The sequence below is a fragment of the Homo sapiens genome, chromosome 4, assembly GCF_000001405.40.
Source record: "Homo sapiens chromosome 4, GRCh38.p14 Primary Assembly".
NCBI classification, from domain to species: domain Eukaryota; kingdom Metazoa; phylum Chordata; class Mammalia; order Primates; family Hominidae; genus Homo; species Homo sapiens.
Genome location: NC_000004.12, coordinates 168,303,435 through 168,326,251, shown reverse-complemented (window position 1 = coordinate 168,326,251; position 22,817 = coordinate 168,303,435). Strand labels below are relative to the sequence as shown.

General features: G+C 37.7%; 1 protein-coding gene and 1 non-coding gene across 8 annotated transcripts in view, besides 1 other annotated feature; one reads left to right on the top strand and one right to left on the bottom strand.

Moving 5' to 3' along the window:
* The window catches only part of DDX60 (DExD/H-box helicase 60), a 109,686-nt gene continuing 87,141 nt past the window's right edge, over positions 273–22,817 (top strand). For 5 of the 7 annotated variants that reach the window (NM_017631.6, NM_001410861.1, XM_011532104.4 and 2 more), the window contains exons 1-5: positions 7,500–7,630; positions 14,887–14,996; positions 15,185–15,254; positions 18,057–18,246; positions 19,532–19,873. In NM_017631.6, the coding sequence (NP_060101.3) occupies positions 14,993–14,996; positions 15,185–15,254; positions 18,057–18,246; positions 19,532–19,873 (606 nt within the window). In that variant the 5' untranslated portion in view covers positions 7,500–7,630; positions 14,887–14,992. Of the gene's footprint in view, positions 483–1,267; positions 1,414–7,499; positions 8,079–14,886; positions 14,997–15,184; positions 15,255–18,056; positions 18,247–19,531; positions 19,874–22,817 lie in introns of those variants that run through there. The other 2 variants (XM_024454132.2, XM_024454133.2) reach the window with 2 other exon arrangements.
* Positions 7,237–7,566: an enhancer, noted in NCBI's record as "active region_22124". NCBI's record gives its function as "activates an Ori minimal core promoter by ATAC-STARR-seq in GM12878 lymphoblastoid cells {active_cell/tissue: GM12878}" and the evidence as "EXISTENCE:reporter gene assay evidence [ECO:0000049][PMID:35858748]".
* LOC124900910 (small nucleolar RNA U13) lies at positions 15,457–15,560 on the bottom strand. Its single transcript, XR_007058552.1, has one exon. It is a non-coding gene; the product is annotated as a small nucleolar RNA U13 (small nucleolar RNA).

Here is a 22,817-nt window from a genome sequence, read left to right as displayed (position 1 = left end):
CTGAAGGCTTTAATGTTTTAAATTGTGTTGAAATAAAGGATAACATATTGACTAGTTGAAACAGTTTGATTTTCTACATTATTTTATTTATTTTTCTCCACTAAAGGGAAAAGGGTAATCTACCGAAATAATTGAACATTTAAAATGGCTTTAAGACTTATTTGACATAATTAAAAATGCACAGTGTTTTGTTTCTCTTAAAGTTTACATTATACATGCCTCATAGAGATATTTGTCAAAAGGGATATCCAACTTGCAAGCAAAGAGGTCACCGCTGGACAGCTATGGACTGCTGTGGGACAATTTCAGAAGCTGCTTACCCAAGAAGTCTAATGTGGAAAGACGTGGCTGTCACTCCCTGGGAAAACAAATAGGAAAGAATATGACAAAGGAGGAAATCAGCTGTTGAACCAAAGAAGGATTTAAGTATTTAAGAAATGCCAACCACTGAAGACAGTTGCTCTGCAACTTAAAATCCTGAGGTCTGTTGTGTATCTGTTGGCCAAGCAGTTTGTTCACGACTATTTGGGGAAAGAATTTCTATGGAACTGGCATATTCTTAGACCCCAATGTTTCCTCTCACTGACCAGTCAACTGGTGTTGAAAAAGCCTGTGGCAGATATATCACAGATGGAGTGTACTCATTTTAATTTTATACGTGCATCTGTGGTTTTGTTTGAATGTATTCTTAAATGAGGAAATGTTTCCTTTGTTTCTGTAAATAAATTGTTATTGACATAATCACTTTTTCATAGATACACATATGAATTTATTAATACCATAGGTTTATTTCTGATTTATAAATTTAATACTGAAGTTATGACTACACAATTCAAACCTAAACAAAATTAATAGAGAATGAACTCTCTTTGTAAAAAATAAAAATTGTTGGCATCCTAATTTTAAGAAAGCATGCAATTATCTGGGCTTTGTAGAAACCTATTGTAGCTGGAGAAATAAGTAGCATTGAATTTTCTTACAAAGCCACATGTCAGGTAAAGCTCTTGAAACAATCACATTGGAGTCAGAGAAAAATCAAAACTAAAACAATATGGTAACAGTGGGTAACAGCCCTATTTGCCGTGTTCTTAAACCTTGAAAGAATGAATGGCTCCTCACAAACTTAATGCTGTGGGCCCCTTTAAGGCTCTCATACATAATGCTCAAAAAAAAGTTACTGATTCTATCCAACCAGAAATTTGTTTTTTAAAAAAATCTGCTATAATAGATTTCACTAACATTTTCTGTTCGGTGTGTATTTCACCAGCCTCTTGACTGCAGTTTGGCTTCACTTCTGAAGGGACATAATACGCCTCTACCAGGCCATCCGTGGATATACCTCAGCAGCCTTCTGTTGCACACAGTCTTTGCAGACAAGATCTTAACTGCTTCTACCCTTCTCCAGAAGCACAGGTACGATACATTGATGATATCCTCCTCTGCAGAGATTCATTTGGGATACTCATTCAAGACATGCAAATACTCATAAAGGAGCTTTAAAAAGGCGATGGACCATTGGTTCATGCATAAGTATAAGACCCTGCCACCTTGGTTAAATTCCTGAAAATTATTTGGCGAACTGAGGACTGCTCCATCTCTGATGCTGTCAAGATGAGCAGAGGAACATAACTGTCCCTTTCTAACATCTTTTAGTCCTTTTGGGTTCTGGAGGCAACATATTCCACATTTACAAATTTTACTTAATCTCGCTGATGCTTTTACTTGCAAATCAGCCCACCTTAAACAGGGCCCCCTCCAACAAATGCTGTAAAATCTGTCCAAACTGAAATGGGCAGGCATCTCTGTTAGTGCCCTCAGGGACTTCTTCACTGTAGAGGCTTTAACAACCTCTTCTCATGCCTCATGAAGTCTCTGAACCACCTGTGATGGCCATAACTTGTCCATGACTTCTGATACAAAATATTGCCCTTCTTCAGCCCTGTACTGTACACCATTGTGTTGGCATTTTACTGGCCACATCCTGGGCTCTCTTGAAAACAGAGGCTCTCACAGCCCCCAAGCCTGTGACCTTTTCTATCCAGTTGCCCATTATGCTTTGGTCATGGAAGCAACACTCCACGGCCTGGCTCCGCTACCAAGGCCTCCTGGATGCAGGATGGAGCCAAACTTGGGCTCTCTGGCATAGTTCACTTGTAGAAAGAGGTGGTCTCCCCTGTCCTGAGTCTCTTGCCAGATGCCACATTGCTGGAGAAGGCCTCCACACTACCTGGGGAGCCTCTGGGATCAACTGAGTGAACAGAAATGGGAGTTCATAGATTTAATGAATGGAATCACCACCACGATATGTGCTAGAGCTCAATGGAATGTGGCGACTTTCCATCCTTTAACCAGGGTGTCTCTGAAAGAGGATGGAACCCAAGCATCAGCACTGTTGGCTAAACTTTGAAAGTCATCTCCGCATTAGATGCCCTCATTGAGAACTGGTCCCATCTGTCCACTGTTACATAATCTTGGGCCATTCTCGGGCCATGGCCTATGAGTTCCTTCCTTTGGGGTAAAAAACTCTGGAAATCTCCTTTCTTACTGATACCCAAAATATAAATTAAGGTAATAGATACCTCTATACATACTAAGGCCATAATACAAGCCCTCACGAGGACATTTCTTATCCCCTTTGGAGTTCTAGACATTAATGAATGTGAGAAAGGTGCATTTCACTTCTCAGAATATATAACAGTGGGCTCTTGAAGAAAGCATTCAGTGGAACTTCCACCTTGCCTATATATCGGTACCAGTCAGTTTAATTTAAGAGGCCTAACAGGCAGTTCAAAGAGCTCTTATTAAAGTTACAATGTGGCAAATAGATGCCCTCATGGGTGTCACCACTGCTACATGCATGCATTGATTAATGTAAATTCACAACCGCTGGGGACTCGCACTCCCTATACCAGTGCCACAGGAGTCCCTCAATTGTTTTTATTGGTCATAATGGGGGCACCTCTAAATTTTATGTTCTTGATTTCCATCTCACTATTTGATCCTCTCCCTCCTGGTCAAATACCTGATTTGCTTCCTAGGAAAGCCCTCCTACTCTCAGTAAGTCTCAGACATCATCAAATTTTAAGTGGATAGAAAGGCATTGTATCATAAGGCTGAAAATTTCATGTGCTTGCTCCATGTGAAAGTTGAGGCTGCTTTGAGGCTCTTGGGGCCCCAGAGACCTAACCAGTAGTTCTGGGCTCTCACCAGATATACTCTGCACCCAGCTCCAAAGCCTTCCCACCTAGCTCTTTCTCTATCAGCCCTACCAGTTGCACTTAACTTTTGGATTTCACTGTCTAGTCAGCCAGCAAAATTATTCAATCAAACAATCACATCCTCCTGTGGGAAACAGGGAGCTTCCCCCCATCCTTTGGTAATTGCAGACCCTGGTTCCCATAGTCCCTGCTTTTTCACTTTGCTCCTGAGTTCCATCCCGGTGTGGCCCTGTGTGGCACACAGTTTCCTTCTCCCTTGGCTGGGAGGACATGTGACTAATAAACTGCTGTCAAACTTCCGTGTCAAGTGCCATGAGTCTGGCCATCCCTTTCCCCTAGGGTGGGAATCATTCCCTCACCAATGGAGAGAAGAGGAGGTGAATAAACTATTTGAAGTGTTCTAAGAAGAGAGGAAATATTGATAGGAAAGTTTGATCTAGAAGCAATGAGCATATATTGAAGTGTTTTTTAATGGGGTCTTGATGTGCTCAGTTTTACCTGCTGAAAAAATGCAGCAGAGTAGAAAATGAATTGGAGGGACAGACTGGAGTTAGAAAGTGAAAAGGTTGTTTCAATAATCCAGATGAGAAATGATGAGGCTTGCTCTAGCCTTTGGAAAAATGGAAGAGTCAAGAGACTCAAGATTCTGTAAGTGTTTGGAGTTGGAATTTACTGGGATTTGAGGGAAGTGAGGATGCAACAATGGCTCCCAGGTTTCTAACTTGAGCAGTAGTTATGTGATGATTCTGCTGATCCTTACAGAGAAGGTGGGAAAAGAAATTGATTTGAAGGAGAAGATTGTAACTGAAATCAAGGGAGAAGAGGCACTTTAGAAGAGAGGGGCTGTACAAACTATCTTTCTAATGCTGAACAGAGGCAAGTAAATCAAACAGGGACTAAACAAGCATTGTTTGGATTTGTCAATTAGTGGATCCTCATTGGATATCTTTGACAGAGCAGTTCCAGATCAGATTTAGGCTAATGGGCCTGAGAAATTTGAAGGGAGGTGAAGAAGTGTAGCCAATGGATGAAGACCACTACAGGGCACCATGCTGAAAAGAGAAGGGCTGAAATCGGGCATGACATCATTTTTCTTATTGTTTGAAAATGGAAGTTTGAACCTATTGAACCTATTCAATTCAATAGGTTCAATTAGAATTGAATTCTATTGAATTGAGTTCTATTGAATTGAATAGGTTCTAATTGAACCTATTAGTGGAATGAACACTATGTTTTAGTTGACAAAGAGATGTTAAAATACACAACAAACTGAAGAATGATGGGCTAGGATGCTTGAGGGGAGATCCAAACCCAGATCTAGAAGGCTAGTTATGTTGTGTGTAAGTGGCATGCTGTGTGTTCTGCTTAAACTCTGTGTGAGACTGGAATATGGAGTTATCAGAAAGCTGGAGAGAATTCTCCTTGAAAACAGAAGAGATGGTCTATCATTTAAAAGACTTGAGAATGGTAAAGTGCTGAATTGTAACTGTCATTGTGAAATATGCAGAAGGCTGAGGGGAACAGAAAAAAAGGTATCAGCTGTGTTGTTAAATAATACATTTGATGAGATCCTAACTGGGTCATTCCCCTTGGTGGCCAGGTATCAAAAAGAAAAGAAAACTTGAATTAATCAGGATTAACAAATTATAGGCAAGTGTAGAGGAAAGTCAGTAGGTTCAAGCAGTTGAACATGTTAATTAAGAGGAGAGTTGAAGTGTTGGCTCATGGAGTTCACCCTGATAGGACAAACATTTGGGAGTCCTCAGAGGTTAAAGTGTAGGGCATAAAGGGAGGGGTCTAAAAGGAAAAATAAAGTACGTGACTATCAAGCTTCAGAACAAAGTCCAGGGTGTGGTCATGGGAGTAGGCTGTTGAAGTGAAAAAGTAAAAAAAAAATAAAAAGTTTCTGTGTGTTTACATACTTTGGGGTGGAAAATTGAAGAGGATGAGTCAAAGTTGTCTTGAACTCTCACCTGATAAATCCGGTCACTGAAAGTCGAAACAACTGTAGAACATCATATATTCTAAAAAACTTTATAATTTAAGCAAAAAAAAATCATTTGTCCACTAGCTGAAACACTTTCAGTTGTAGAATTTGAAGCATTTGATGAAATTATGTAATAGAGAATGTTGTAGATAGGCCATTGGGTTAGACCACATTTTGAATCTTAGTATAATTTATTAGCTGTTTTATCCCTCGAAGCTTTATTTTTCTTATCTACAGAATGACAGAAATCATAGTACACACCTCATGAACTTGCTGTGATCATTGATATGGTATTAGCATATTGCTTAGCACATAGTAGCTGTCTGAATTAATTCTACCTCTTGTTATAACACAATCCATTATTTCTGCTGTTTGCAAATATGTTATTCATTTCCTACAATACAGTTTGCAATATTGTATTAGTTCTCTATGGCTGCTGTAACAAATTACCACAAATTTAGTGGCTTAATACCACACAAGTTTGTTCTCTTACAGTTCTGAGCTCAGAGGTTCAAAATCAGTCTCTCTGGGCTGAAGTCAAGGTGTTATCAGGGCTGATTTCTGGAGGCTCTAGAAAAAAAAAATGTTTCCTTGCCTTTGGTAGTTTCTAGAGACCACCAGACTCCTTGGCCCGTGGTCCCTTCCACTGTCTTCAACGCCATCTGTGTAGTGTCCCCACATTCTGTCACTGACTGTTTCTATCATCACATTGCCCCTCGAACTCCTGTCTCCCTCTTATAAAGGCCCTTCTGATGACCTTGGGCCCACCTGGATAATCCCGGGTAAGGGGTAATCTCCTCTTCTAAAGATTCTTATTTAATCTATTTTGCAAAGTTACTTTTGCTATGAAAGTTACTGTATTCATAGGTTCCAGGAATTAGGATTTTGGCCTCTTTTGGAGGGAGGAGTGCAGGGTATTATTCAGCCTACCCCAGGCAGGTACATCAGAGATCACAGTGAAGGAGACAGGAATATTGGCTGATTTAAGACCAATCATGTGTTAAATTCTAGAGTCTTTTATTTTCTTTCTTAATCTCATCACTAACAAACACGTGAATTTCTAAACAAATGAATAAACAAGTAATTGTCTGATGGATGTGAGAAATGTCCTCCTTCCCCATATCCCCCTCTTTTAACAACTTGACTCTCTAATTTTTCACAAGACAAAGTATCATTCACTACTCTCTCTGTTCTGTGTTCCCTGTGGAGCAGTGCCTGGACCTTGGCTCTTTCCTTTCCTTGTAGACAAAGCAGCCTGTGGCTTCTTATCATGCTGATTACCCAAATTCACTGCTGTCTTTCCTCCACACCCTCTTCTATTTCCAATATATGAATGCATATTTATAGCATTAATGAAATCAAGCATACGAGGGCACTGAAAGGAAAGGAGATGAGTATCGAAACCCACACTGCAAGTATCAACAGGCAAAAATTAAGAGAACATTTCATCAATTTGAGGCACAAATAAATGTGACCATTCTGCATTTTCAATTTATTTTTTAATGTTGATTCTTGGCCCATGAAAGTACCAATTACAGTTTATACAGAACAGTAATCATCAGCTTCTCATAACAGAAACTCAAAGTTCATGTATTGTTACATACTTTCTTTTTTCTTTTTGCATACAAGTAGAAGCAGCAAGATCTCCAATTTCATTGTGGGGTTTCAGATTCCACAGTGTCTTTTACATTTTATCAATTTCTAAATTCTAACTCTTCTTGATTTTATCTTGTTTAGATGTTACAAATTTTTCTGCCTCAATTTACTCTATATTTATGCCCAAATTCCAAAGCCCATTTTTATTGCCTTTGTCTCTCTCTTTTAAGGTTTTTTTTAGTTTCATTTTATTTTTAATTGACGCATAATAATTGTATATATTTTTGGGGTACAATGTGACGTTTCAATACATGTATACATTGTGTGATGATCAAATCAGGATAATTAGCCCATCTATTACCTCAAAACTTTACTATTTCTTTGTGATGAGAATATTCAAAATTCTCTCTTCTAGCTATTTTGAAATATGCATTATTGTTAACTATACACACCCTACTGCAGAATAGAATACCAGAACTGGTTCTTCCTAGCTATTGTAACTTCATACCTTTTAACTAACGTCTCGCCATGCTCCCCTTCTTAAGATTCTGATTGAAGGGAAGGATGCTAAACTTTCCACGAAAGTGCCTCGCCTAATTCGTGCTGAAGGGAAACTGAAACCTAAGTGCTTCTGAGAGGAGAAAGGAAACCGAAACTCCCGCCGGATGCATAAAAGACTGGCTGCGGTGGCTCAGAGCGCCGAGTCCTAGGCCAGGTCTGGGGTAACCTGGAACTTCCACCTGGGCTCTGCGCTAGGTCTCTGTTTCACTCCCTCCCCGCGGGGCGCGCAGCTCGCGGGTCTTTGGACACCACCGGTCCTGAGTCCGCGGTGAGGAGCCGGGGATGTCCCTTGGGAAGAGCCTGGGGCGGAGCTGTCTAGCGGGAGTTCTAGGTCTTCTTCAACGGACCGGACAGGGAGGTGGCCCAGGAGTGCTGGGCTCGGGGCGCGGGAATCTGGGGAACCTCCTGGGATCGCAAGGCCGTGGCGCACGGGCCCCCTGCTGGCCCGGAAGGCCGGGCGTGGGGAGGGGCGGAGGAAAGGGACAACCGCGAAAGGCCTGAAGTCTGAGACAGAGAGGAGTGCTTAGTTAGGCATTTAAGGAGTCCCCGTCAAAGGTGGGAGCTGGGTAATGGAGGTTGAGGAGAAATTAAGGGACATCATATCTAAGCACAGCCAGTAAAACCTGTACATTGACAGCAGCAAGAAGCTTCCACCTTCAATCCCTGCTCCAGACTTGTAGAATCAGAATCTGCGTTTATTAATAAGATTCCCCCAGGTAATTTCTGTGCACCCTTAAATTTCAGTGGCTTAAGACAATAGAAATTTATTTCCTACTCCAGTAACTTAATTTATTCCTGGTCAAGGGGCAGGTATAGTGGCTTAAAACATTACAAGTTTATTATTTTACAATTGCTGTGGATCAGAAGCCCAGGCATGGGTAAAGTGAGTTCTCTGTTCAGCATCTCATCGAGCTGAAATCAAGGTGTCAGAGCTGTGGCCTCATGGGACACCATGGATGCTCATTCAGGTTGTTGGAAGAATTCAGTTTCTTGCAGCTAAAGGACTGAGGTTACCTGCTTTCTTGCTGGCTGTTGGCTGGGGGTTCCCATGTCTTTAGATTTCACCCTGAGATCTTAGCTACAGTGGCCTTCTCACAACAAGGTGGCTTATACCGTTAAAGAAGGTATAGGGTACCTTTAAAGAAGGTATAAGCCTCTTTGGGGGAATCTCCCGAGTCTACTATGATGAAGTCTTACATAATATAACCGAATCATTAAAGAGACTATGCCATTAAATTCACAGGTCCTGTCCACACTCAAGGGGAGAGGGTTATACCGGGTACTGGAAGCCATTTTAACCCACCAGCTCTTCTCCAGGCAGGGTTTCAGGAGCTTGATGCCTTTCATCAAGTAGCTCCACCATTCTGTTCCAATACAGAATCCATGATTTCCTTTCCCTTCCCTTGCCCCCATTTTTTTCCTCTTTACCTCCCCTTTGCGCCTTTCCTCTTCCCTCCTTTTTTCTCTTTTCCATTTCTCTTCCTCCCTTCTTCTTTTCTTCTTCCTTTTTAAGATTGTTTGAATCAGAATATGGTTCTGACACTACTGTGATTGGAGGATAAGCCTTATAAGGTTCTTGCAATTTCTTTCATCCCCTTTTAATTTATTCGTTTGTAAGATTTGTGGTCTTATGATTGTTTGTTTTTGTATGTGTGTGTCCTGTTGGGTGTGTGTTTATGTGTGTGTGTGTGTATGTGTCCTAATCCCTGTGGTGTCATTTAACATATTTTGCTGGCCTCTAAATTTCTTGTAAATTAATCATTACTACTAGCGTTTTGATCAGATTCAGGTTTTCTTTTTTTTCTTCTTCTTCTTTTTTTTTTTTTTTTTTTGAGACGGAGTCTTGCTCTTTTGCCCAGGCTGGAATGCAGTGGCTTGATCTCAGTTCACTGCAACCTCTGCCTCCCAGGTTCAAGCGATTCTTCTACCTCAGCCTCCCAAGTAGCTGGGATTACAGGTGACTGTCACCATGCCCAGCTAATGTTTGCATTTTTAGTAGAGATGGGGTTTCACCATGTTGGCCAGTCTGGTCTCGAACTCCCGACCTCAGGTGATCTGCCCGCCTTGGCCTCCCAAGTTTTGGGTTTCTTTTTTTTTTGGCTGGGAGAACTACAATACTTCACTGATGGTGTGGACACTTGCCTCTATTTTTGTTGTGCTATCGTTTAAAAATACCAAGATCTGTTAATTCATTAGGAGTTGTAAAATGGTGATATTCTAATTCTATCATTCCTTCTGTGTTTATTAGCTGCATTATTTCTAGAAATGAATCACTCTTGTATCTACTCTTTGGTAATGCGATGGTGCAGTACTTAGAAGAAAAGCAGGATAATTTCTTGATTCCATAAACCATTATTTTTTTTCATATATTGTCTTCAGATGCTATTGCTGGACATCCTGCTGTGAAAGATGAAGAATTTAGCATTCATATTTATTTTTCTTTCATTCATCCCTTTGTGAACTGCCAAGTTGGTTAATTATATTATTATTTTCATACTGTCAAGGTTTATCATATTTTACAGCAGTTTGTGACTTTGATTCTTGTGATTTGTTTGTATGTTGAGTCAACAGTAAAAAAGAAGTAAACAGCAGTGACAAAATTATGAGTATGTACACATTACTCAGTGTAGAAGCAATCTAGGAATTGCTAGGCTAAGACATGTAGTTCTATGTTGTTAAAATTACTGTTTGAAATAGACTTTTGTAAATTCGAAGTACCATGGGTTCTCTTGTTTTTCTTTATAGCTTCCTTTAACTTTTCTAAATCACACAAAGTTTCATGGTTTTTTGATTGTCTTCATTCTTGATGGGTTTTCCCCAATTTTCTGTATTATCTCTTTAAATAAAATTATCATTTAAGATATATAGTTGGCATTTTGGAAGACAGCGTGGCCATTCCTCAAGGATCTAGAACCAGAAATACTATTCGACCCAGCAATCCCATTACTGGGTATATACCCAAAGGATTATAAATCATTCTACTGTAAAGACACATGCACATGTATGTTGATTGCAGCACTATTTACAATAGCAAAGACTTGGAACCAACCCAAATACCCATTAATGATAGGCTGGATAAAGAAAATGTGGCACATATACCCCATGGAACACTATGCAGCCATAAAAAAGAATGAGTTCGTGTCCTTTGCAGGGACATGAATAAAGCTGGAAGCCATCATTCTCAGCAAACTAACACAGGAACAGAAAACCAAACACCACATGTTCTCACTCATAAGTGGGAGTGGAACAATGAGAGCACATGGACACAGGGAGGGGAACCTCACACACTGGGGCTTGTCGGAGGGTTGGGGGCAAAGGGAGGGAGAGCATTAGGTCAAATACCTAATGCATGAGGTGCTTAAAACCTGGATGACGGGTTGATAGGTGCAGCAAACCACCATGGCACATGTATATCTATGTAACAAACCTGCATGTTCTGCACATGTATTTCAGAACTTAAAATAAAAAAAGGATATATGGTTGGTGAAATTTATGACTTCTTAGAAGTCTAATTACATCTTTTTGCCTCCTCCATGAATTGAATCACTATTTAGATGCAGAATTCTAAGTTCAAATTATTTTCCCTTTAGAAATCTGAAAGTGCTTTATTTTATCAAAACATCCAGGAATGTTGCTTATTTTAATTAATTCTGTGTGCCAGGTATTATTTTAATCAATTCGTATCCATCAGTTCATACATTTAAGTAGCTTGAAAACACAATCAGAGGTGAGTAATATTATTGTTCCAATTTTATAGATAAGTAAATTGAAACTCAGAGATGGTAAATACCTTGTCTAAGCTTATAGAACTATAGTATATTTCAGAACCAAGATTAAAATGCAAGTAGTCGGCCAACAGTGTTCATTTCTTAAACCAGTTCTCATATGGCCTGACTTCCATTTCTTTGTACCTTTTCTGTCTTTCTCTTTATTCTTGGAGCTCTGCAATTTTAACAAGTTGTGCCTAGGCGTAGTTTTCTCTTTTGTCATTATTTCTACTCAGTAGTTAGAGAAACATTTCAATCTAAACACATTATGTTGTTCTTTAGTTCTAGTCTAATATTAGTATATTAGTTTAAGTATATATCTTTGATTATTTTTATCCCCACTCATTTTGGAATCTTAGTTATCTCCTACTAGAAATATTAGTAGGGGGAGAAAGAGCTTATTGACTTATTCCTGGATATTTTAGTATTTTTAGAATTTTTTCATCTCTTTGTCTTTTACTTTTATCCTTTACAAAATTTCCTGGACTTTAACCCTACAGATCACTGACTAAAAATTCCAGCATGCTCATTTTATTGTTCTGCAATGACTTTCTTCCTTGTAAAATTATGTTTTAAATGTGTACGAATACTTGCATGCTTTCTTTTTCTCTTTCTCTCTCTCTAGCAGCCTGTTACTATTTTATGAGAAATATTTTTAATTCTTTGAAAGCAGTAATTAGAAAATTTTGAAGGTCTTTTCTGTCTCTGCATCATGCTTATTCATCTGGTTTCTTATTTTTGCTTTTTTTGTGTGCCTCAAATGTCTATTGGTACTAATTTGTGTGTGTGTGTGTGTGTGTGAGTGTTCAATCATTAGTTACTACAGGTGGCTGGATCTCTAGCATGTCTCTCCCTTAAATGACAGAGAAGTGGGGATAATGACTGTGAATTCTGTTTAGGTGTTAGGGCGTGCATGTGTTGGGGCAGAGGTTAATAGGGTAGCTCTAGTATAGGGTATATAAGAGGAAAGCCTAGGGTGTGTAAGCCTACTTTAGTATAGGGCATGTAAGAGGAAAGCCTATTAGGCTTTACACGCATTGTCTTGCATACCCTGTCCTATGTCATGCAGAGCAACCTGTAGGATCTCAAACTTCCCATAGGCAGGCTACGGAATCCCTTGATTGTCAAATTAAGGAGGGATTGCCCATTAACGCAGTTTTATTTTGTCACCATAGCTATTGCTGAAAGTTTCACAGTGTTTAACGGGCACTCACGTCTCAGTCATAGTTATATTTCATTATAAAAACTATATTATTCCTTTTAATCTATGTATATTATTTCTTAAAACAATTTCTAAGTTGTCAGGACATAAATAGTTATTAATTTGTTTGTATCTAACTACTTAATAAATGAAACGGTTAGCTATTGATTTTGTCCTAGGAGTGGCATAAAAAAATTCCTGAGACTCTAAGAGCATCGTGAACATCTGGGAACCTGTAAATTAACTTATTTCATCTTGTAGAATCTGATGCTATCCTTTCTGAAGTTTTCTGTAATATACTTGGGGTTAATTCTCTCTTGCCTGTTCAGTTCTCACTGACCCATTTTTTTCCATTTGAGCTTGGTACAATTTGGAGAGTTGAAGAAAGATAGTATGGCCAATGCACAGTTAGTGAGGTGGAGGATTGCATGAAATGGGTGACAGAGAGTTTTTTGAAAATACCTAATCTCCTGACCTGGGCACAAGACCCATTATAGTCTGGTTCTAACCTACCTTTCCAATGTCATCTCCAATGAGTCACCCTGTCCTATGCCATGTAGAACAACCCATAGGATCTCAAACTTGTCATGTAGTTTCACAACTTTATGCATTAAACTGATGCTGATTTTGCTACCTGAAAAGTAATTCTCTATATCTCTCACTTTCCCCAACATGCTTTCATAAGTCTTCATCATCTTTTCAACCTGTTCTTGAAACCTCAGAACACAGGACCCTGATCCCTTCATTCTGATTTAGGAACTCCCTCTCAATTCTCTAATGGCTTCCTGTGCCATTTCTGCTAGAACACAGCAAATTAGATGTAGTGTGTCACTTAGTTATCTTTCAACTTACACTGGGTTGTACAAGGAGAGAATCATGCTTCATGCATATTTGCATATGTTTCAGCAAGTACAATGTTTTGTAAAGTGTAGATACTCTATAATCTTTGAAATAAGATAGTAACTGAGTGAGTGAGAGACCATACTTACGCTCGTGTCTCCATTAAGGGTCCCTAAACTCCCCAGCCCACAGTAATTCCATTTTTCTTTAAACTTATTTGTCATTACAGTCATATACTTCCTTGCATTATTATTGTAATATTTAATATCAGCATGTGCATCACCATTATATGTTCCTTACTATCATGGAATAGGAATCTCTCTCTCTCTATCATATCTATCTATCTATCTATCTGTGTATCCATCATCTATATCTATCTATATCAATCAATCTATCTACTATCTATCCATAAATCATGTGTGTATCTACCTATCTGTTTCATAGCCCTAACATATTGAATGGCAAGTGTCTCAATATTTAGTGTCCATGACAAAATGCTCAAGTGCATTTTCATCTACCTCTTTAGTATTTTCTTCTCTATTACCTTTGTGGATTCTTCCTCCTCTCTTGATATATTAAGTATTAGTATCTTCAAATGTGGGTTTTTAGTACTCTTCTCCCATGATGCTGTCTCTCCCTGTCCAAGCAAGCTCATCTACACCAATGGCCTCATTTACCGTTAATACTCAGATGACTTACCTCTTCAAATCTAGTCCAGACTTTGTATTTGTCCTCTAGACTTGTATATTTTACTACTTACATATCATGGCTTATGGGGAATCTTGAAAGCAAGTCAAATTCAGGTGGTTCACAAATGCCGCCATAATCTTTTCCTGACACGTAGCCTTGTTCTAAAATTCCCAGCCCAGGGAATGGCCTAGTCATCCATCCTGTTACTTGAGCTAGAAACTTGTGTCATCCTTGACAACCCCCTTTCCTCTCTTGTCCATCCACATCCAGTCCAGTTCCAAATTATGTCAAGCTCATCTCCTAAATGTCCTTCAAGTGAGTCCACATCTCTCCAGCTTTATTATCTCAGCTACCATCAAACTATATTACATCAAATTATCATCATTACTCTCCTGCACAGTAACTTTCTTTCTGCTCTACTAAGAAGCTTACTCCCATCCTGTTTATTCTCTATATTGTAGCTGGACTAATCTTTTCAAAGTGCAAAGCCAATCACAATACCACCTGCTTAAAATCCATCAGTGGCTAACTTTTCATTCTAGGACGAAAAGAAAATTCTATAACATGACTTCAAAGGCTCTGCATGTCCTTCTATTTCTCTTGTCCTCTCTAGTCTTTTCTTTGATGGTCTCCACTCCAGCCCTACTGGCTTCTTTCTGGAATCAATGTCACCCACAACCCTTCACGCCACTGAGCTTTTACACATGGTATTCTGGTATTTCCTCTGCCAGAAATGCTACTTTTTCTCTTTTTGCCTAATTAATTATTGTTTATTTCTTAGAACTCAGCTCAAGCATTATTTCTTTAGGGAAACTTCCTCTGACCTCTTGACTTTGTCGTTTTTGCAATGTTCCATTGTTTCTATGATTATCTGATTAATAATTATCTTTAAGCTCTGTGAGAACTGTCAGCAATGTTGATTTGTTCATTCTTGTATTCCTTGTGTCTAATATTTTGCTTTACATATAGTAGTCATTCAATACATGTTTGTTGAATAAAGACTCATTTTCTTTTCTTTTTTTGCAGGACTGCCATTTTCATTAAGAACTGCCACTTAGAGGTACCAAAATAAAGGGTATTTGCTACCTTTAATACTTGCCAGTTCAGGTTGGAGGCACAGGCAGCAGCAAGAATGGGTAATTTTCCACTTAAAATATTTATAGATTATAAAACAATGTTACCCTGTAAACTACATAGATTTAATGGAATTAAAATAACCACATTACTGTTTTACTTTCTTGAATAATAACTAAATGATAGCTCCTGTAAAAAGGACCAATTGAAAAATAACCCATTCTCTTTCTCTCTTTTTTTTTAAATTTAGAAAGAAATGTTCTTACAACATTTTCACAGGAAATGTCCCAGTTAATTTTGAATGAAATGCCAAAAGCTGAGTGAGTATTATTATAGTAATAAAGACGGGAAATCATAGCTCATGTTCCCTGTATGTCTATTTGGCCTTATGCTGATTTATAGACAGTTGACCATTGAACAATGTAGGGGCTAAGGGCACTGAACAACTATGCAGTTGAGAATCCATGTTTAACTTTTTAAAAATTATTGTTAATTAATTTTTATATATTTTTTCTAAATTCATGCCAGCCGGATAATGAGATAACTTTGTAACAAGGATTGAGTAGGGCACATCCAACACATACACATGAAAACCCAATCATCACATTTATGAACTACAAAAGGATGGTGTTTAACTTTTTACTCCTCCAAAACTTAACTGCAATAGCTTTCTCTCTGCTCTACCAAGAAGTTTGCACCCATCCTATCTATTGTCTATCTTGTAGCTGGACTAGTCTTTTCCAAATGCAAAGCCCATCGTAATGCCACCTGCTTAAAATTCTTCAATGGCTAATATTTGATTCTGGGATGAAGAGAAAATCCCAAAACATGCCTTCAAAGGCTTGCCTGCCCTCTTGTTTCTCTGGTCTTAGTATAGAAAATTAAGAAAATCATAAGGAAGCAAAAATGTATTTATTAAGTGGGAGTGGATCATAACAATAGTGACATCTTCAATGGTGCCATCCCCCCAGACTTCCATGATGTTCTGTCTATCAGGGTTCTCTTCCATAGCATTGACAATTCTTTCCATAGATTACTGTGTGTAATGAGCCTTAAAGGTTCTTATGACACTCTGATCTAAAGGCTGAATTAAAGACATTTTGTTTGGGGGCGAGTAGACCACTTCAGCATCGTTGTGTTGAACTCATGGAGTTCTAGGTGGCCAGGGACATTGTCCAATATCAAAAGTACTTTGAAAAGCAGTCTCCCTCACTGGCAAGGTACTTCCTGATTTCAGGGACAAAGTATCAATTTAACTAATTCGGAAAATGTGTCCTCATTGTCCAGGACTTTTTGTTGTACATCTGAGAGACTGGCAGCTGGTGTTTATCTTTTCCCTTCGAGTCTCAGGAGTTGGCAGCTTTACAGATAAAGACAGGCCTGAAGATAAAACCAACAGCCTTTACACAATACAGTAGAGTTAGCTTATCCCTTCCTGCTCTAAATCCTGGTGCTCACTTTTGTTTTGTACTAATAAATATTATTTGTGACTTTTTTTCCAGAATAATTTCATTTGCATTAAAAACCTATTCAAGCAGATATTCTTTCCCCTCAATGATTTTCTTCTGTCTCTTAGCTGGCTGAAACTGCTTCTCTTGTTATCTTGACATTTTTAAAGCCAAACTTCTTTCCAAAATTATCAAACCATATTGTGCTGGCATTAGATTTTCCAGTTTTAGATATTTCGTCTTCCTTTTGCTTTGTCATATACTTTGCTTTTTCTTGAATCATATTAGAGTCTATAAATTTGCCTTTTTAGATAATCCCACACCCACATAAAAGCTCTATTTTCAATGTGAGATTAAAAAAAAAGCCTTTCACAAAAAATGCAAGATTTTTATGACTGCTGCAACAATGCCTTCACTCATTTCTTTAAAAAAATTTTTTTACAATGGTCCTTACGTTAGGTTTATTTATCTGGAAGTGGTGGGCAACTATAGCTGCAAGCATCAATCTATGACACACATCAGGCAATTCAACTTTTTCTTGTAATGTCATGACTTTCTCTGCTTTTTGGGAACACTTCTGGCATCACTAATGGCACTTCATATGGGTTCCATGGTTTTATTTAGGGTTTATGATATTGCAATAAACATGATGGAAAAATACGCAAGAACCATGAGAGATCACTTTTTATTGTGTTTGGAGAGCAGTTTACTGGAGAGGAACTGCTAACTTACCACCATACAACAAGAAGTGGCTACAAAGTTATTACAGTAGTACAGTATGTACTAGAGTTAATTTTATGCAGTTATGATTTAATAGTGCAGCATAACATTTGTTTACACTTCTCTCAACTCTGAAAGCTGCCATGTGTAGTCTATAAGTGCGTGCATAAGTTTAGATAATTTTTAACTTTTACAATAGATCTGTGTATATTTTATGGCAGTAAATGCTAAAATAGACTACATATACTTTATGCATTCGTGACATAGGTAACTTAAAATTTTTTTCATATTTGTAGGCTGCACGGTTTGAGAGTTTTTTCAAATAGTCACAAATTTTCACAAATTTTTCTAATATATTTATTGAATATATAGTATACATTTATCAGTATATATCTATGTATCAGTATTTATATTGGTGTGTATCTATGTATAATATATATACATATATAATATATATCTATATATAGTATAGAATATTATATATAACAGTATATAGAACTATGTACACTATTATATATATGTATATATGATTGTTCAACACAGCACTTTTAGAGCTATATGACAGTGAATGGAAACAGTTTCCTCTTGCTTAATTTGTCAATAGCCATCAGTGAATCCACTTGTAAGGGGCTGAGGTTGATTAAGCATAAAATATATATAATTTAGGTTTATATGCAGGGTACAAGTACTATATTCATGGTCCTATCAGGCTGTGCCACATGGCTTTGGATACTTTGCTCTCTGAGCCTAAGATGTGAATAATCCCGCCTTCCTCCTGTGAAGGATAGTTGTGAATGTAGATATGTTTGAAAAGCCTTAGTGTAGACACTGCCATGAGACAACTCAGCAAATTTAGCTATTGATGATAATGATAATGAGCTAATAAGAACGATGCCTTTTTGGAACATGATTTAATGCATATGTGATTTTTGTTTTAACTGTTTTTCATTTTAGATATTCCAGTTTATTCAATGATTTTGTTGAATCTGAATTTTTTTTGATTGATGGGGATTCATTACTTATCACATGTATCTGTGAGATATCATTTAAGCCTGGGCAGAACCTCCATTTCTTCTATCTGGTTGAACGCTATCTTGTGGATCTTATTAGCAAAGGAGGACAATTCACCATAGTTTTCTTCAAGGTAACATGATAGTTGAGTTCTTTTTTATAATATGAGAACTAAAACTAAAATTTCCTAAATTATTATATATATATTTTTCTTATTACAAAGTAGATTATATCTATAAAAGTTCAGAAAATTGAAAGGAAAGAAGAGAAAAAATTACCCACAATCCCAGTATTCAGAAATCACCACACTTGAGATTATGTTTTATTTGAATGAAGAGAACTTTATTGTAAGGACACACAGGATCATGAGAGAGGATGAGAAAGCTCCTCAATAGCGGCCCAGTTGAACTCTGGATTCCAGTTCTCCTGCTCTGAGAACTATTTCTGTTTTCAAAACTCAGCAGGCAATTTATATGAGCCCAGAGGAAAATATATCTGAGCCTAGGGACAGTCATTAATAATGCTTTGTTGGCTGGGCACGGTGGTGCATGCCTGTAATCCCAGCACTTCGGGAGGCTGAGGTGGGAGGATTACTTGAGCCCAGGAGTTTGACACTGCAGTGAGCCATGATCACGCCACTGCACTTCAGCCTGGGTGACATAGTGAGACCCAGTCTCTAACAATAATAATCAATGTTTTATGATGGTTTGTTTGAGGTATTTCCAAAATAATACTATTTTTGGTTTGCTTTTTTATTATGAATATAATTAATATAATTTTTAACAATTTCAAATAAAGATATGCATAACCACTACCACCCTTCCTAATCCTATACCTAAAGGTAAAGAGCTTTGGTGTGAGTCTTTTCAGTCATTTTGCAGTCTCAATTATTGTTACATTTCTGAACATGGCTGAATGCTTGCCAGCCATGTTTTGTGTAAAGAGCTAGGCTTCCGATCTAATGTTTACAATCTAGTTGGTTGCCCCAATTTTGTTATGCCGAGACAATCTCAGTTGCTTAAGGAGGGTTGCAGTAACCTGGAGCAATCCTCTAAAACACAATGGTTCACCTCAGCTTTCTGATGCAGATGATTTATATCTACCACTTGCTTTCTGTTCTTTTTCTTTCTGAAATGAGATTGGAGAGGAAAAGAATTAGAAAATGGGAAGGGTAAGCATGATAAGCTCCAAGTATTAAGTGCCTGCTTAAAGGAGACACATGCATTTAAATCCAAACTGTGATTTTTTTCAGCAAATATCTGTAAGATGGTAGTAAAGTTTAGGGGTCTATTCCCCGACCATCAGACAGAACAAAACTGTTGGATTTTATTCCTTCAGTGCCTTTAATGATGTGTTAGCCAACTAAATGATTAAATGATAATTTTGAAATAAAATGTACTTCACCTCCTCCTCCACAGGATGCCGAGTATGCGTATTTCAACTTCCCTGAACTTCTTTCTTTGAGAACTGCTTTAATTCTTCATCTTCAGAAGAATACCACCATTGATGTTCGAACAACATTTTCGAGATGCTTATCAAAAGAGTGGGGAAGTTTCTTGGAAGAGAGTTACCCATATTTCCTGATAGTTGCAGACGAAGGCCTGAACGATCTACAAACACAGCTTTTCAACTTTTTAATCATTCATTCTTGGGCAAGGAAGGTCAACGTTGTACTTTCCTCAGGGCAAGAATCTGATGTTCTTTGCCTTTATGCATACCTTCTTCCAAGCATGTACAGACACCAGATTTTTTCCTGGAAGGTAATTCACATCCAAAAGACAATTTCTTCTAGAAATTTTCAAAATGTTCTAAGTTACTTGACTCAGTTTTTTCTCCTCCTCCTCTAGGAAATTATCAGAGGCTTAACAGATAGGTATAACAATTAATAATATTAAGTAAATAATGATAATGCAAATGCAGTCATTTATCAAACACTTATTGTTATAAAATTGTGCTTGGTATTTCTCATGAATAATTTTTATTTAACCTTAAAACCAATCTTATAAGGTAGGTGTTAAGTATTGTCTGTATTTTACAGTGATGAAATAGATACTAGAATCAGTAATCTGCTCACCAAACACACCAAATGAATAGTAGAACATGGATTTGAAAAGACACAGTTGGACTCAAGCCCCTGTGTCCTTAACTGCTGCATAATATGTTGACCTCAAGGTATTGAAGGCCAGAAATGCATGGAATTAGGCAAAAATTACGCCCCTGTTGCTGAGACATATTGACAAAATGCTATTAATATGGTAGCCTTTAATAAGAAAACAATGGAGAAGGTCAATAAAGAAGGAAAATAACTGAAATAAGCTTATTTCTTATTATTAAGTAATCAATAGGAGAATTTTCAAAGTTCTTAGAGTTCGAATTCCATGATGTTATTATTTTGATACATTAGTATATTTGACAATTATTGTATTGAAATTTTGGGAGTAAATATGCATACGGATATATTTATAAATTACTATATGTATAAAATAAATGATAGCTATAATAATATAATATATAATAGAAATTATAATAAATTTATTTACATAATAAATTATAAATAAGACAATACGGTACCATATAGTAAATTAATAAAATTAGTACATTAAATAATATAGCTATTTATAAATTACTAAATTTATTTATAAAATTATAAATACATCCAGTTTCTGCTTATTTTTCACTACTGATGGTGAATTGTGAATATGAGGGCCATTCTTTAATTCATCAAAATCATTTTTGAGACAATTAACATTTGTCACTGTTTGAGAATTATGTCATACTCCTCATGTATTTGGAAATATCCACATGGTTGCCATAAAATAAGCTAGTTTGTATTGCTTTAGTTAGTACAGTCATGCATCACATGGATACATTCCAAGAAATGCATCATTAGACGATTTCACTGTTGTGTAAACATCGTTAGTGTACAGACACAAAGCTAGATGGTATAGCCTATGACACCCTTAGGCTATCTGATGTAGCCTACTGTTCCTAGGCTAAACCTATACAGCATGTTACTGTATTGAGTACTCTAGGTAATTGTAACACAATGATAATTATTTGTGTATCTAAGCATATCTAAACATAGAAAAGGTACATTTGAAAATGGTATAAAAGATTAAAAATGATACACTTGTATAGGGTACTTACCATGAATGGAGCTTGCAGGACCAGAAGTTGCCCTGGGTGAGTCAGTGAGTGACTGACGAGTGAATGTGAAGGCTTAGGACATTACTGTACACCACTGTAGATGTTATTAATATATACAGTATTCACTTTGGCTACATTAAATTTATTTAAAAATACTTTTTTATTTAATACCTTAACATTAGCTTACTGTAATTTTTTATTTTGTGAATTTTAATTTTCAAAATTTTTTTGACAGCTGTACAAACACATTATACAACTGTACAAAAATATTTTCCTTCTTTATTTTTCTTGAGACAGTGTCTTCACTCTGTCACTCAGGCTGGAGTGCAGTGATGTGATCACAGCTCACTGCAGCTTCCACGTCTCGGGCTCAAGTGATCCTGCCGCCTCAGCCTGTCGAGTGGCTGGGATTACAGGTGCGCACCACCATGCCTAGCTAATTTTTGTATTTTTTGTAGAGACAAGGTTTTGCCATGTTGCCCAGGCTGGTCTCAAGCTCTGGGGCTCAACCAATCTGACTGCCTCAGCCTCCCAAAATGCTGAGATTACAAGTGTGAATCACTGTGCCTGGCCTTTCTTTCTTTTTATCATTATTCTGTCAGCTTTTTTTCTGTTAAAATATGTACTTTTTAAGCTTTTTTCTTAAAAGAAAAAAAGATGCAAACACACACATTAGCCTAGGCATACACAGGGTCAGGATCATCAACATCAACTGTCTTCCACCTCCAGATCTTGTCCCACTGGAAAGTCTTCAGGGGCAGTAACACACATGGAGCTGTCATCTTCTATGATAACAATGCCTTCTTCTGGAATAGCTCCTTAAGGGCCTCCTGAGGCTGTTTGGCAGCTGTTTTAAAAATACAAGTGAAAAGAGTATACTCTGAAATAATAATAAAAAATTCGCATAGTACAGTAAGTCATAAGTCAGTAGCAGTCATTTTTATCATGATCAAGTATTATATACTGTACATAATTGTATATGCTGTACTTTTTTTATTGTTGTTTTTTTGGAGACAGAGCCTTGCTCTGTTGCCCAGGCTGGAGTGCTGTGGTGCGATCTCAGCTCACCACAACCTCTGCCTCCTGGGTTTGAGCGATTCTCCTGCCTCAGCCTCCCAAGTAGCTGAGACTACAGGCATGCACCACCATGCTGGGCCAATTTTTGTGTTTTTAGTAGAGACGGGGTTTCACTATGTTGGCCAGTCTGGTCTCGAACTCCTGACCTCATGATCTGCCCGTCTTGGCCTCCCAAAGTGCTGGGATTACAGACGTGAGCCACCACGCCCAGCCTATGCTGTACTTTTATATGCCTGGCAGCACAGTAAGTGTGTTTACACCAGCCTCATGAACACTTGAGTAGTGCATTGCACTGTGGTGTTATGACATCACTATGACATCACTAGGCAGTAGAAATTTTTCAGCTCCATTATAATCTTATGGGATCACCAACATATAAGTGGTCTGTGGCTGAAAGAAACATTGTTATGTGGCTCTTGACTATTATTAAACTATTTTCAATTCTGGTTGCCTACTCTGAGCAGGAATAGCCCTGGGATT